The sequence below is a fragment of the Homo sapiens genome, chromosome 14 (genome assembly GCF_000001405.40).
Source record: "Homo sapiens chromosome 14, GRCh38.p14 Primary Assembly".
In the NCBI taxonomy this organism is placed as follows: Eukaryota; Metazoa; Chordata; class Mammalia; order Primates; family Hominidae; genus Homo; species Homo sapiens.
The window spans coordinates 40,575,759-40,589,794 of NC_000014.9; the positions used below are offsets into that span (position 1 = coordinate 40,575,759).

The 14,036-nt window shown below is 31.3% G+C and overlaps 1 long non-coding RNA gene across 1 annotated transcript in view; it reads right to left on the reverse strand.

The window, feature by feature from the left end:
• Positions 1-362: 362 nt before the first annotated feature.
• The window catches only part of LOC105370466 (uncharacterized), a 53,842-nt gene continuing 40,168 nt past the window's right edge, over positions 363-14,036 (reverse strand). The window contains exon 3 of the long non-coding RNA XR_943790.3: positions 363-478. This is a non-coding gene — a long non-coding RNA (uncharacterized LOC105370466). The remainder of the gene's footprint in view (positions 479-14,036) is intronic.

Consider the following 14,036-nt stretch of genomic DNA (forward strand, 5'->3'; position numbering starts at 1 on the left):
TCAATGGATCTTAGACTTTGAACTCTTTCGTCCCACTGAACTTCTGGTAGCAGAAGCAGCTCTTCCATCCCTTCCATATGGAGGGTACTCTCAGCTTGTCTGAAGAACCCATAATGGTCTCATTAATGGTAGTTACCTTACAGGAAATTGCTACTCCTCCTCCGAATCTATCTTCACCACATTTTCCTGCTTCTAGACCTACTTATAAATCTGTACATAGACTCAATTCCCATCAGGTCATGAAGAGTGACAAAATGGGCCCTTTGGGAAGATGTGCTATATAACAAGAGAGTTGCATAATTTTGCCAATTTATAGTGACAAAAACCAGGGGATATGCGAACAAAGTATAAAGAACATAAGATGAATCAGAATACATTTATTGGATCATGAGCATAGATTCTGGATAGAGTGGCCATGCTGGTAATGGTTCTAGCAGTTTGCTTGTCTGGTTGATGGAATTCTCCACTCAAGATTGACCTGCAACAGTTGAAATTAAAATTTCAGAAGGTATTCAGGAAGTCATCCAAAGAAATAGGGAGATTGGAACGCTGGAGTGGATTTATCATGGAAGACCTAAACATACCCCCTCACTATGTCCCTTGGGAAGGTCTAGAGAGCATTCATTTCACCAAGGCTGTGAGAAATTTATGAAGGCATCCGGAGCAATCTAGAACAGCTCTGCGGTGACTTTTTTTGTAGGCCCAGAATTACAGTGGGATCTGCTATTACACTGAGATTCCCAAATAAAACGGGAATGGTGGAATTCTGGAGTATCAGAGACAAACTGGCAACAATTAATCATCAAGGAAAAGAGAGCTTAGATAACATAAGGCACAATGATGCTAAGAGACTGAACATACAAATGGACTATGGCCAGATCATATACAAAAACAGAACTCTGATCTAAAACCTGTAGCAAGCTGCCCAGGAAACCAGCCCCTTATCTGTAATAGGCAGCCCAAGAAGCAACCTGCTGTAAATCAGACTTTCAGGAAGCCAGCTCATTATCGCTAATGATAATCCAGGAAACTAAACAATACATTCTTGAGCAATGAACCTGAAAATGTTCAAGAATTGATCAATAACTGACAGCTTCCCTAATTTTTGTTCCTGCTTCCAACTTAGGACCAACCAGAGAAAACCAATTATGCACCCGTAACCAATCCCATAGGATACCACACTTCTAGTTAGCCCTATAGCATCCTCATGCCAATAGCCTCCAACCAGGGCATATCTGAAGTCTTCCCTTTCTGCAACTATAAAGCTTTTCCACTCTTCTGCCTGTATTTGCATCTCTGCCAAAATGGAAGTGACAGTTGGTGGCTCTCTTGCTGCAGCAAGTTCTGAGTAAACAGGCTTTGTTTTTCTCGTTTGTTTGGTCTTCTTTTACTTTCACAAAGCAAAGCAGCATTTAGAATAATCTTACTTTCAGAGGTGGTTGGCTTTGGCTAGCTGACAATAGAGTTCCTAGAACTGAAATAGTTGGGCAGCCTATCAGAGTCCAAATTGATCTGTTTAAGCAGGAAAACTCTAGGCCTAGTGAACAGAAATCTGACTGAATCACACAGAATACTCACAGCCCCAGTGCAGTCTCAGACTTGAGTCAGTTCACAGTCCCAGGACTCCTTGAGTGAAAAGGAGACCAAACGACTTTAAAAAAGGACGCTGAAAGAATAACAAATACTTATATTGTGAAACTTCTTTCAGCCTTTACTAAAGGTACAAATGGTCCTTTATTGGTCACTATTTTTAATTAGAATAAACAAAATATGTATTTTTAATTTGGCAAGTAATTACATGTCCAATTATGATAAAGTACATTTTCTTTGTGTGGGGTGTATGCTAGGTTCAAAAATGATTCGAATATTAAGATTCAGGAGAATTTTGATTTTTGAACTCTAACTCTTCCCCAGGTATAAAATGAACATAGATAAATAGTGCTAAAATGTGAGTTAGATTTTTAGGTAACAATGTAAATGTAATACAAATTTGAAGCTTAGGAATAAAAATAAATAGCGTTTGATTATTTTAAAGTAAGTGCTTATTTATGTGGTTTCCAATGTGACTTAAGACATCTGTGTTTTTTCTTGTTTGCTTGTGTGTATATGAGAGTGGGAAAGAAGGGGAGTGAGGAGGAGGAGAGAGAGGGTGGAGGAAAGGCAGAAAGTTCAAGAATGATTTGTTTGAGAGATGAAGTACGTTGCATAGATAAGACTATGGTTTGTTTAAAAGTATATTAATTTCTGTAACTATGTAACAGAGCATCCCAAATTTAGCAGCTTAAAATACCAGTTTATTGTCTCACAGATCTGCGGGTCACAAATCCTGGCACAGCTTAACTGGATCGTTGTGCTGTAATAGCGCGTCAGGCAAGGTACATTCTCATTAAGGTTCACCTGGGAAAAGCTACTCTTCCAAGCTCCCTCATGTTGTCTGTAGAATACATGGTTGCTTGTTTCTTCAAACGTAGCAACTGAGAAAGTCTCTGCCCTCAGGTAGGAGTCCTTTATAAGGATTTTTCCCTCAATTAAGACAGGCTCAACCAGGACAATTCTTCCTCTTTTTTTTTTTCCTTTTTTATCTTAAAATCAACTGATATGAAACCTTAATGAAATTTTCAAACTTTCTTCACCTCTACTCTATCCTATTGGCCAGAAGGAAGTCACAGGTACCAGCTGTACTCAGAAGAGGGGATCACATAGTTTATAACATATTGGGGTCACCTAAGAATGTATCTGACATAATGTGATATACCAGAAACCCAAAGGATAAGTGGATGGAAAGAAAGGCAAAGCAAAGAAGGAAAAGAAGTAAGAAATCAGGGAGGGAAGAAAGGCAAGCAAGCATTTATGAAAGGAATTTCGGTAGTAAATACTCAGCTATAAAATTTCAATTCATTTTGGCTTCTTCCATAAAGACCTCCCTTCATCATTTTCCACCATCCTCCCAGATCTCTATTCTCAGTTTTCCATACTTTTAAGAGTTATAACTTGATAGCACTCTCTTTTACTTATTTGTATTTAACTTTATTGTCCTTTGCAAACTACGCAGTTACTCAAAATTAGGGACTCATGCTAATGCACATTCCTCTTCATCATCCCAAAGATTTGAACAACTTATGCAAAGAAACCCTTTATTCACTGTATCTTAGGAAAACAGGAATAAAATAGAGTGCATACTATGTTCCAAGTACAGAGCCAGGCACTCTCACTTTTTACCTTATCACTAAGTGACCTTATATTAACCTTAATTAACAGAATAGAGCAGTTACTTAAAAAAAATAAATAGCTGATATTGGTATTGCTAAAATTCTAACCCAACCCCTTGAATATTTTATTAAGTCGAAATGAATAGAAGTCAAACATAAACATCATTGAGAATTCAAAAAGAATTGTGTGATATTCACAAAATGCAAGTTATGGCACCTCCTTAACTTGATATTTAGCATGGTGAAAAACGTGTTTGGGCAGAAGGTGGGCAGACAGATGCTTGAAGTGGCTTTTTTCCTTTTACTGAGACTTTGGAGGAGTTACTTTCTCAGTTACTTATCTATCAACTCTCTATCTAACTATCTATCTAACATCTATCCATCTAACTTATATATCAACTATCTATCTAACAACTTATCTATCAGTAGTTACTAATGATAGTAACTATTTCTAGAGGGAATAAGATAATTAAATGAGTTTAAACACAATGGTGTTTAAATGAATGAAAAAAACATTGCTCTTGGATTTGGGGGCTGGAGGGAGAATCAACAAGCTACCGACATAAAGTAAAACAAATTGAAACAAAACAGATTTAGAAAGCAGAAAATAATAGCCTGCTGAAAACAGAGTCTATGCCCAAGATTTCTTTTTGTAGTTATAGTAAATATTTTTAAAAGCTTATTTCTAAATTGTTAGCATACTGAATTGTATAATTATAAATAATTTCAGAAATAATGTTAAATGATTCACACTCTGCTAGTTTTATTTTATCCACATGTACCAGCCCCATTTCTATTCTCTTTTTGATCATTGTATATTTCTAATCTGTAACTAGAAGAGTTTGGCAAATTGCTTATTTATAATAGTATGACAAGCCATCAATCAAAGTATCTGGCTTCCAGAATCAGATTATCCTAATTCCGTTCACTCTTTATTTAGTGGTTGCAGTGGAGTCCCAGGAACATACAATATCATGGCAAGAAACAATCAATGCTAACACAAGCCACAAAGATAATCGGAATGGAATCAGTGGTTTGTTATTTTCTTTCTTAGGATTCTAATTTTCTTTTACCTTATCATACACATGGACCAATAACCATTTCAGGATAAAGCTAGACTAATCAAAATAAATGAAGTCCCCAAACCACCTGTACAATCCAGACATTTAAAAGCAGAGGAGTTGGCAAATATAGTATTTCATAAATGAAAATTTTAGCTCAGCCTCCTATCTTCTCTATTTTTTCTCCAAAGGAGAAAGAGGAAAAACCTTTTTCATTGAAAAATTATAGCTTGAGATTATCAATCAATAGTACCTCTTAGTTGCTTAGCTCAGCCATCAGTGTTAGGTGTATAACAATACTGAGGTTCAAAAGTAATAAAACTGGGCATGTTTCATAGCCAGTATTTTACTTTATATGATATATATATAGTGAATATACTATATTTCTTGGCGGAGGGAAAAACAGGGGATATGGTAGATGTTTAATAAGTTATTTCATCTAAACCTCAAACCCTAAAAATTAAATGCTCTTGCCATTTTACAGAGGAGTAAACTGAAGATGACGTTAAATGACACATAATTTTAAACCTGGAATCAAAAATATCTGAGACATCGTAAATGAATACATTTGTAGCTCTTTATTTTCTTACTATCTCTCTGTTAGTGATATTTACACCAATTTTTTGTAACTTTGGCTTAAAATTACAACCATTCGAGTTGAAATGAAAGAAAAGCCATCTATCTATTGTCACTATCATGTCTGCATTTTCTGCAGTTCAGTACATGTCCAATTTTATTCAAAACCATTCAAAGGCTTCTCTTTTCTTTCTTCTGATACAGTATTGCTTAGATGGTCTCTTCATTAAGCTGAGTAAGAGTGCAGATTTTCAATTCTTTGGAGAGATTCAAAGCTATCTATCCCTATTACCTTTTCATTATTCCTTTAGGGTCTCATTTAGTACTAACTGGTAAATTTTAAAGGCCAAAAATTTTCACTGCAGATATGTTTTCTGATTCTGAGATAGAAATTATATCTGGAAGGATAATATAAGAGAAAAAAGATGGGATCTGAAAAGGTTAGAACAGTTTCAATTTACTAATTCATTCAATTTCAAGATCAAGACTTTGTATTTCATTTTTAGTTTTCTTCCTTGGTAGCGCATACAATTTATATAAAAAATAAAGTTTCTACATACACGATTCTCATTAATGTTTTGGATTTGTTTCTAATATTTTTCCATCAATTTATGTGAATCAAATCTTCTCTTAGGATCCCTTTCACAGTTCTTTTCTTTATATCCAGATCTTCTCTCTGATTTTTTCTTTCTTTGTCCCTATCATCTTCTCTTTTCACTGCGGCTGTTAAGTTAAAAAAAAAATCAGAAAGCTATTGATGTCGCTATCTTTCTCCTGTCACTTTCATCAGAAAAAAACAGAGTTCCAATGTGCCGCATCCAGTTGCTTAGCAACAATATTTTCAACCTCCCTGCCAGCATGAAGAGTGTGAAGCTGGGCCTGCTAATGTGGCTGCAAGACCAAAAAGAGCATAGTTTGAGTGGAAATAGGAAAATTAAACCCTGAAAAATTCAACAATCTCAGGATATAATGAATGCAGAAAAGGATGAGCATTTTACAGTGGGAGCTTCCTTTTTCTGCATGACATATCACTGGCAGAAAACTTTCTTCTCTAAAGCAACCTTCTAGGAGTTATGCAATCAAAAATGCCAATAAGACTGTGTTCTGCATCCAGTTCCTAAACTGATCCATTGCTTTATTTTTCCATACATATATTTACAATTCCATGGAAAAGTAGATATTATGAATGTGAATGTTTTCAGCACAAGATTGAGTAAAAAATTTTTAATAATGCTTTTTCAAAATTTATTACTATTATTTTAATGAACAAAAACTGATGGCTTTTCTATGTAAGTTTGTGAATATATTCCTATTCTTTTTATGACTACTTTAATCTCACATTATTTTTTTTTCTCAGTAATAGAAACACGTATTTAGTCCATGTTTGGTAACTGTATAGCTTTCTTGTTTTTAAATAAAATGTTTTGATTGCTTTATATTTATGTTGTTCATTGGTATGTGTTTGAAAATGGATAAATGACAGAAAGATTGTCAACAGAGTTCATAATCAAAATAATTAAATGCAAAATTATACTTTCAACGAGAAGATTAAAAACTAATAAATATGCTTTATATTTTTTCTATTTGTCATTTAAAAATACATTTTATTGCATATAAATTAAGAATTACATACCCTTATCAGTTCACATGACATATATAATTTTATCAAAAACTAATTATAAGTTAATTTAAAAGTTGTTTCTTGAATTTAATACATTTTAATATAGTGTGGTATTCTATTTTGAGCAGGAATTGCAGAAACTGGTATCTTGTGTTCCAAATTTGCTTTGATGTTTTCATCTGCTTGATAATCTGGAACATGTTTTATAATCTGCCTAAGATTCAGTTTTTGCATATTAAGTGAAAATAATACTTCCTAACTTCAGTTCTAGTACAAAAAAAATACACTGAGATAACCAATATAAAACACTAAGCATATCTGGCATACAAACAATATTCAGTAATTTTAAAGTCATTGTTACTTAGAAATTTTTAGAAATTAGTGACTAGACCAGATAGGTTTTGTTCCAGACATTTTATCACATTTTAATGTAAATTCATTTTTAAACATTGAAGTATACTGACAGCAGCAGCACTCAAGACATTAAGCATTTAGAGATATAGAGTCCACAGAAGTAGAGTATATGTGAATAATTAAAAACTCTAACAGTAGCCATGTATGTAGACTGGGTATGCATTAATATTTATTAGTATTTTTGAATAAAAATGTAAATAGCAGACTGTGGAAAACATGGTCATAAAATTCTTTATTTATATCCTTATTACTATCTGTTTTATCTTATAGAAGGAAAACTGACCATTTAAAAATTAATAATTCATGTCCATAATGGCAAGATATTATTTCTACCAAGTTCATAAATAATAATATAGAAATATTATAAATGAAGATCTCTTGGCCAGCCTTATAAAAACACGTTTGCACCATCTTTACTAACTCATTCTTAATTATGAGCAGAATCACAAGGTATTTGATGAATGCTTGGAATATAAAGCACATAATTTAAAATACACTAAAACATCTACAGAAAATCTAAAAAATAAAGAAACCTTAAGATATTCTTGTAGGTAATGAAACCATCATATCTGTAAATGAGTAAAGAATAGATTAAAAACAAATAATAAATCTATAAACATATTTTCTTTTAAATTAAAATTCTAGTAAAATATATTGTTAATGTTGATGAAATATCTCTAAAAGGAGGGAAGAACAGGGAGAAATATATGAAACCAAAGATAGGAAACATGAAGATATAGTTTAAGAAGTCTAACTTTTGACTTGTATGGTTTCTAGGTAGAAATGAACAGATGTCAAGGTGATGATATTTTCAAACATAGTAAAAGCAATTCCTAAAATGGAAAGATGGGAGTATCAGACTATAATGAACTCAGTAAATACCTAGCCCAATGAATTAAATTATACCTGCATATTGACACATTGTACCTTTTTAGAACATCGATAATAAATACCAAAAGTATCAAAAGATAAAAAATAAAAAGGACAATATAAAAGGAATGATCTTCAGGAACTTCGTATGCAATTATGTAATGAATTCAATAGGCTGAAGGAAATTAATTTTGGTTTTTACTCAACTAAGCTATTAATCAAATGTAAGGAAAAATGAATTACATTTTCAGACATGAAAGGTCTCAGAAATTTTACCCCCTACACACCCACACACTATTAGAAAATTTCTTAAGGATGGCATTAGTTGCAGTTCTCTAGAGAAACATAACCAATAGGTCTCATATACAGACATACACACACACACAGACACACACACACACACATACACACACACAATTTTATTGTAACGAATTGGCTCACGTAACTATGGAGGCTGAAAAGTTCCTCAATCTGCCAGCAAGCTGAAGACCCTGGAAAGCTGGTGGTGTAGTTCCAGTCTGTCTCTGAAGATCTGAGAACTAGGAACACCAGTGGTGTAAGTTCCAGTGCAAAACAGAAGACTGATGTCCCAGCTTAAGAACTCAGGTAAAGAGAGAATTCTCATTTCATCCGCATTTTAGCTCTGTTCAGGGCCTCAGTGGATTGGATAATGCCAATCCACATTGGAGAGGGCCATCTTTTCTACTGAGTCTACTGATTCAAATGTTAATCTATTTCAGAAACACATCTTAGACTATTCAGATATAATGTATAACCAAATATCTGACACTCTGTCTCCCAGTCAAGTTGACACATAAAATTAACCATCACAAAGATGTTCTTTGTAAAATGTAAGGGTAAACCAAGGAAGAAGAAGGTGCAAAATATGGGAAAGGAATCCATAAGAAATATGTATGAATTACAAAAATAATTGCTTCTGCTAGAAACAGTATTTAGTGTACCATGAAACAAGAATCAAGAAGTAAGAGAGGTACAGAGATGTTTATATCATCATTGAAAGTATAGGCTGACTTAAGAAGATGATAAATATGTTAATTCTAATTTTTTAAAATGAGAATTTAAAATTTCAGGAAACACAAAATATCAGAAAAAATATCAGAAAAAAATGCAATCATAGCACACTACATGTTTGTGAAATTAGTGATATTTATAAAGATGTAACAAATACTTGACCGTGTAAAAGTAAAAATAGGAATAACTGCATTTGCAGTTGAGAAGGGAGGCAGCAAATAAAAGGTAAATATTAACCTTACAAAGTAAGTTGACCAGATATACTTTCAAGAAATAATAAAAAACCAAATATTCAATATTTTGTAATTACAGAAAAAACATGAAATAACTTAAAAGTCATAACAATACTATTAAGATGAAAGAAAGAGATGGTTTTTGACCAACCCTCAGATATCAGGGAATTAATTGAAAATGCCTAAAGCTGATCAGACATAGTGATATAAACATAAAGTTTAGGGATGCAAATTAAGTAAAATACTGTACTCTTTAATAATTAAAAACAATTTTTGTAAATTTATAAACTAGGTGCTATGAGAGACAAGGAACCCTTGTTTTCCATTATTGGCCCATCTGTAATATTACCTTTTCATCATACATTATTTAAATATATTTCTATGCATACATTGGTATAAAAATTTGTATACGAAGTTTAGTTTATAATTGTATGCAGTTTTGTTTTTTGTGTTTTTATAGTCAATGATAAAATTATAGCCCCATCTTAAAAAAGATGAGCAAAATGAGTTTCTTCTTAAAGTTGGTAAGTAATTTTTAAAAGTTTTAAAAAGATAAGGTTTAAGATTATTGAAATGTAAAGTCTCAAAATACATACATGAAAAACCTTATAAAATATTAAAAATAAATACTACAGCCCATAGTATACTTAATAGTAGAGATTAAACTCTTTTTTCCTATTATCAGGTACAAATCAAGGATGTCTGTTCTCACTACTTCTAATAAGTGTTTTACCATAAATCTTAGTGCAATAGTGTAATAAAAATATATAAAAGGCATATAATTTTAAAGAGATTTGTGTTAAAATTATATTATGGTGATGGTTGCACAATTGTATAAATATTCTAAAAACTTTTATGCACTTAAATGAGTGAACATTGTGATATTAAATTATATCATAATGACATTGTTTTTAAAAAGCAGAAGAATAGAGAATAGCTGCTTTTATTCACAGATAATAGGATTTTATAAGTAGAAAATCCTGTCGATTCCACCTAACATTACTTGAATTTATACACCAGTTCAGCAAGGTAGAAAGACATAACAGTTTTGAAATAGAAAAATAAAATAAATTTCTACATAGTATCAATTAACAATTGAAAAACACAGTATTTTAATTTATACTAGTTACAATATCACCAAGACAAAATCTAGTACCTAGGAAAAATATCTAATCCAAAGTATGAAAAATTACTTTATGGAAAATGATAAAACATTACTCAAAGATGTTAAAGATTAAGTAAATAGATATCCTAAAATCAGTAGATATTAAAAAATGATATTACTAGGATGTCAATTTTTACCAAACTGAACTATATATTTAGTACAATCACAACCTTAATTCAAGTGGTTTTAAAAAGTAAAAATGGACAGGAATATACTAAAATTTATATGAAAGGCAAAAGACATAGAATAATACAAAATATTTTGAGAAAAAGAAAAGCAAAGTTGAAATATTTACACTACCTTACATTTCAAAGCATTTTTGTCAGAACACAGTGCTATTGACATAATAATATACAAATAATGTAAAGAAACAAAAAACTGGTATTCCAGGAACATACACATTAGATCAATTAATTTTTTTAAGACATAAAGTCAATTAAATGGTAAAGGGATTCCACTTCAGCAAATGATGTTGAAATAGTTAGATAAATATGTGAAAAATAAAACACCTTTTACCTGCCTCACTCTATACACAAAATTAATTATTAATTGACCAGAAATTTCAATGTGATAGAGACTCAACATTTCTAGAAGAAAACATAAGAAAATTACTTTGTAAAATTGAAGTTAAAAAATATTTTGGCAGGACCTAGGAAGCAATAACCATAAAAGAAAAATATATATAAATTGAGCTATAATAAATATAAATAAACCTCAGCTCACCAAATAACAAAATTTACAAAATAAATAAGCAAAACATAGGCTAGAAATAATTATTTGCCATGTACCTCAATGAAAGAAGATATGCATTTGGAATATATAAATAACTCTATTTCGCAAACAATTCAGTTTGTAAGTGTTTAAATATTTGAGTGGTCCCTTTATTAAGACGTGCTTCAAAAATTAGCCATTAAAGAACCCAATTCAAAAGCACATTTAGATACTACTATACATTCAATAGAATACCTAAAACAAACAAAAAACACAAACTAAACAAAATATTGATGAGACTATGGAACAAAAACCAATAAAATATTGATGATGGAAGGATAAAATGGCACAAGTTTTCAGAAAATGAATTCATAGGTTTTAATGAAGTTCAACATTAAGGCCTACGTTTTTACTCAACAATCCTACTCCTACCTATTTACTCGAGAGGAAATAAAACATATACCTACATGAAAACTTATACTCCATGTTCAAAGTAGCCTAAAGCTAGAAAAAGTACTTATCTTCATCAAAGGAAGAATGTATGAGCACATTTCAGTGTGTTCATAAGATAACTTTTATCTAACATAAAAAGAAATACATTCCTAATACTCAAAATAACAAGATTTAATCTCAAAAAGTTTATGTTGAGTAAAATAAAATGAATCAGAAAGGAGAGTATACTGTATGATTCCATTTACACGAATTCTAAGACAGGCAAAACTAATTTACGAGGATTGAAATCAACTAGTTGTTGCTGTTGTGAGGGGGTTGGGGCTTAACTAGGAAGAGGCATAAAGGAACTATCTGGGAGGACTGGCATAATTTCTTTGTTTCCATTGATAGATGTGAAGTGTATACAATTGTGAGAACCAATCAGTTGAACATTTAACCTCCGTGTTTTTCATAGTGTATGCATCAATTAAAATATATATTAAGTGAATATATCTTCAGATTTTTTGAGCAGACATATTTATGGATATATAAAAGATATTTAGGAAAAAATAAATATGTAGTTGTTATACTCTGTATTTTGCTGTTTGTTCTTTATTTTATTTTACATTGATTTATAAACATTCTTCTGAAGATTGTGTAAGCCACAATACAACTTTTAGTGTGAATATTAGTAGTGATTTTAAATATTTACTGAGTTTCATCTGCACACTTACTGTTTTATGAAATAATTCTTTATTCATATACTGTGAAAGTTAAATTTACCTTGATGATTAGGATGCACTATTTCCTTCCTCTATTATAGTGTAATTTTTAAAAGAAACTTCCTGATAGTTTATTAGATATAAATTCAAATACAGTGCAGCATACCCTGTTTTGTGAACATATCTTTTATTTTGTAGACAGTATTTTCATCTTTTTATTGTATAGAAATAAATTTAGTTCTTTTCTTGGTGACTGGAGGCCAAGTTCAGTTGCTTTAAAAGGAAAAGTAGATTTAGGATGGAAGTACTGTATAGCTTCTTGCAGGTTTATTCTTCTTATGATCGATCCGCTGACTGATTAATTCTATACTGTAATACTTAGAACATGAACTTTCTGTGCACAAGGCTATTTCTCTGACTGGTATGTTAGCACATAATAGTATGTACAGAAGAGTTCTAACAGTAAGGACAATAATATTGTGCTGATTTTAACCTCTTCTTGGTATTTTTAAATCTTTGTCCTCACAAAAATTATCTGATAATATGGGCAAAAGTAGGTGCTTCAACTTATGTGAATACACAGTGCCAAAATTATTCATATGGCCAGAAAAAAAAAACCCAGTAATATCCTCATTTGTTTAGAAATATGCAACATTTGATAATTGTAAATACAGGAAAGATTTTCTTCCCAATAAGAGCATATAAAAATAATTTTAAAGTAGTATATTAATTGCTAAATTGTTCACACGTTTATAACTCCTTATGAACGCTTCCCTTAAGAAAAGCATCTAAAAATAGTTAAAAATAATGTTCTTCCTTCATGAAACACTTTCTTTCCTTGACTTCTGCAAATAAAAACTCTCCAAGTTCCTGATGGAATTATATAACTTTGTTTATCTTTAATAAACTCTGTATTGATTATTGAGGCAATTCCACTCAATTTACCACTTTATTAATTTTATTAATTTAAAAAAGCCAATTGTTCAAAATTTTTAGTTTAGAGCATTTTTGGTTAATGTTACCTTTTTGTTTTCAGCATAACTAAACACATTACTTAAGATGTAGCAGATACACATAAACGTATGTTGTATATTAAATGTGTCATTACAAAATTGAAAAATCTGCCATTGGCTTCCAAACTGATCAACTGTTACTCATACATATGATAAACCAAAGCTATGGAAAAATGAGATTACTATTCATTCAATCTAAATATAATATTTTGAAGGGCGCTGTAATGTTTTAGTCTCAAAAGAGTATGGTAGAAGGAGAAAGGAGATAATTTCTCTGAGAAGTCATTCTATAGGAAAAACATAGTATTGGAATTTTTTCAATTAGAAGTCAGAAATTTGGGAACGATGCTTTAAGTAAGATGAATTGGAAAAAAAACACTGAAGAACATAACTAACATATAATGAAACATAGTATTTTGCAGACAAATTCCATAAAAATTGTTAATTCTATTTTATGAATTGCCCAACATTTTTACTTGATTAGGTGTGGTCTCAAAGGAACTGAGCTTCATGGATCAAACAACACACATTTCATTTCATCCTCCTCTTCAGACAAGCAATATATTTTTTTTAGGTAAGTAACGAAGGTCCACTATTTTTCTGTGGTACACAAATTATTTTGTATATATTTAAGAGGAGAGCCATAGCTCTAATTTACATATCTTTCTAAGGTGCGTATCTCTCTCATACTGCTCAAGTCCTATTTGTCTTTTTTTAAGGTCTCTGATAACATAGTACTATATATTTTTGTGCCCCATTACAAATATTTGAGTGCATAAATCCATTTTTGGAGTTTATAGCAGAAAAGTGGAAATAAATTGTGTATACACAAGAATGGAAAAAAGTCAATCTTTAGCCACTGTGTTGACAACTGTAAGGACCAAATATGGAACATAAAAATCTTTCTTTTCTAAGGCTAAATATGATATGAGGAAAAAGTACGTGAGAAATAAGGTATGATTCCTGATTTAAAGTAA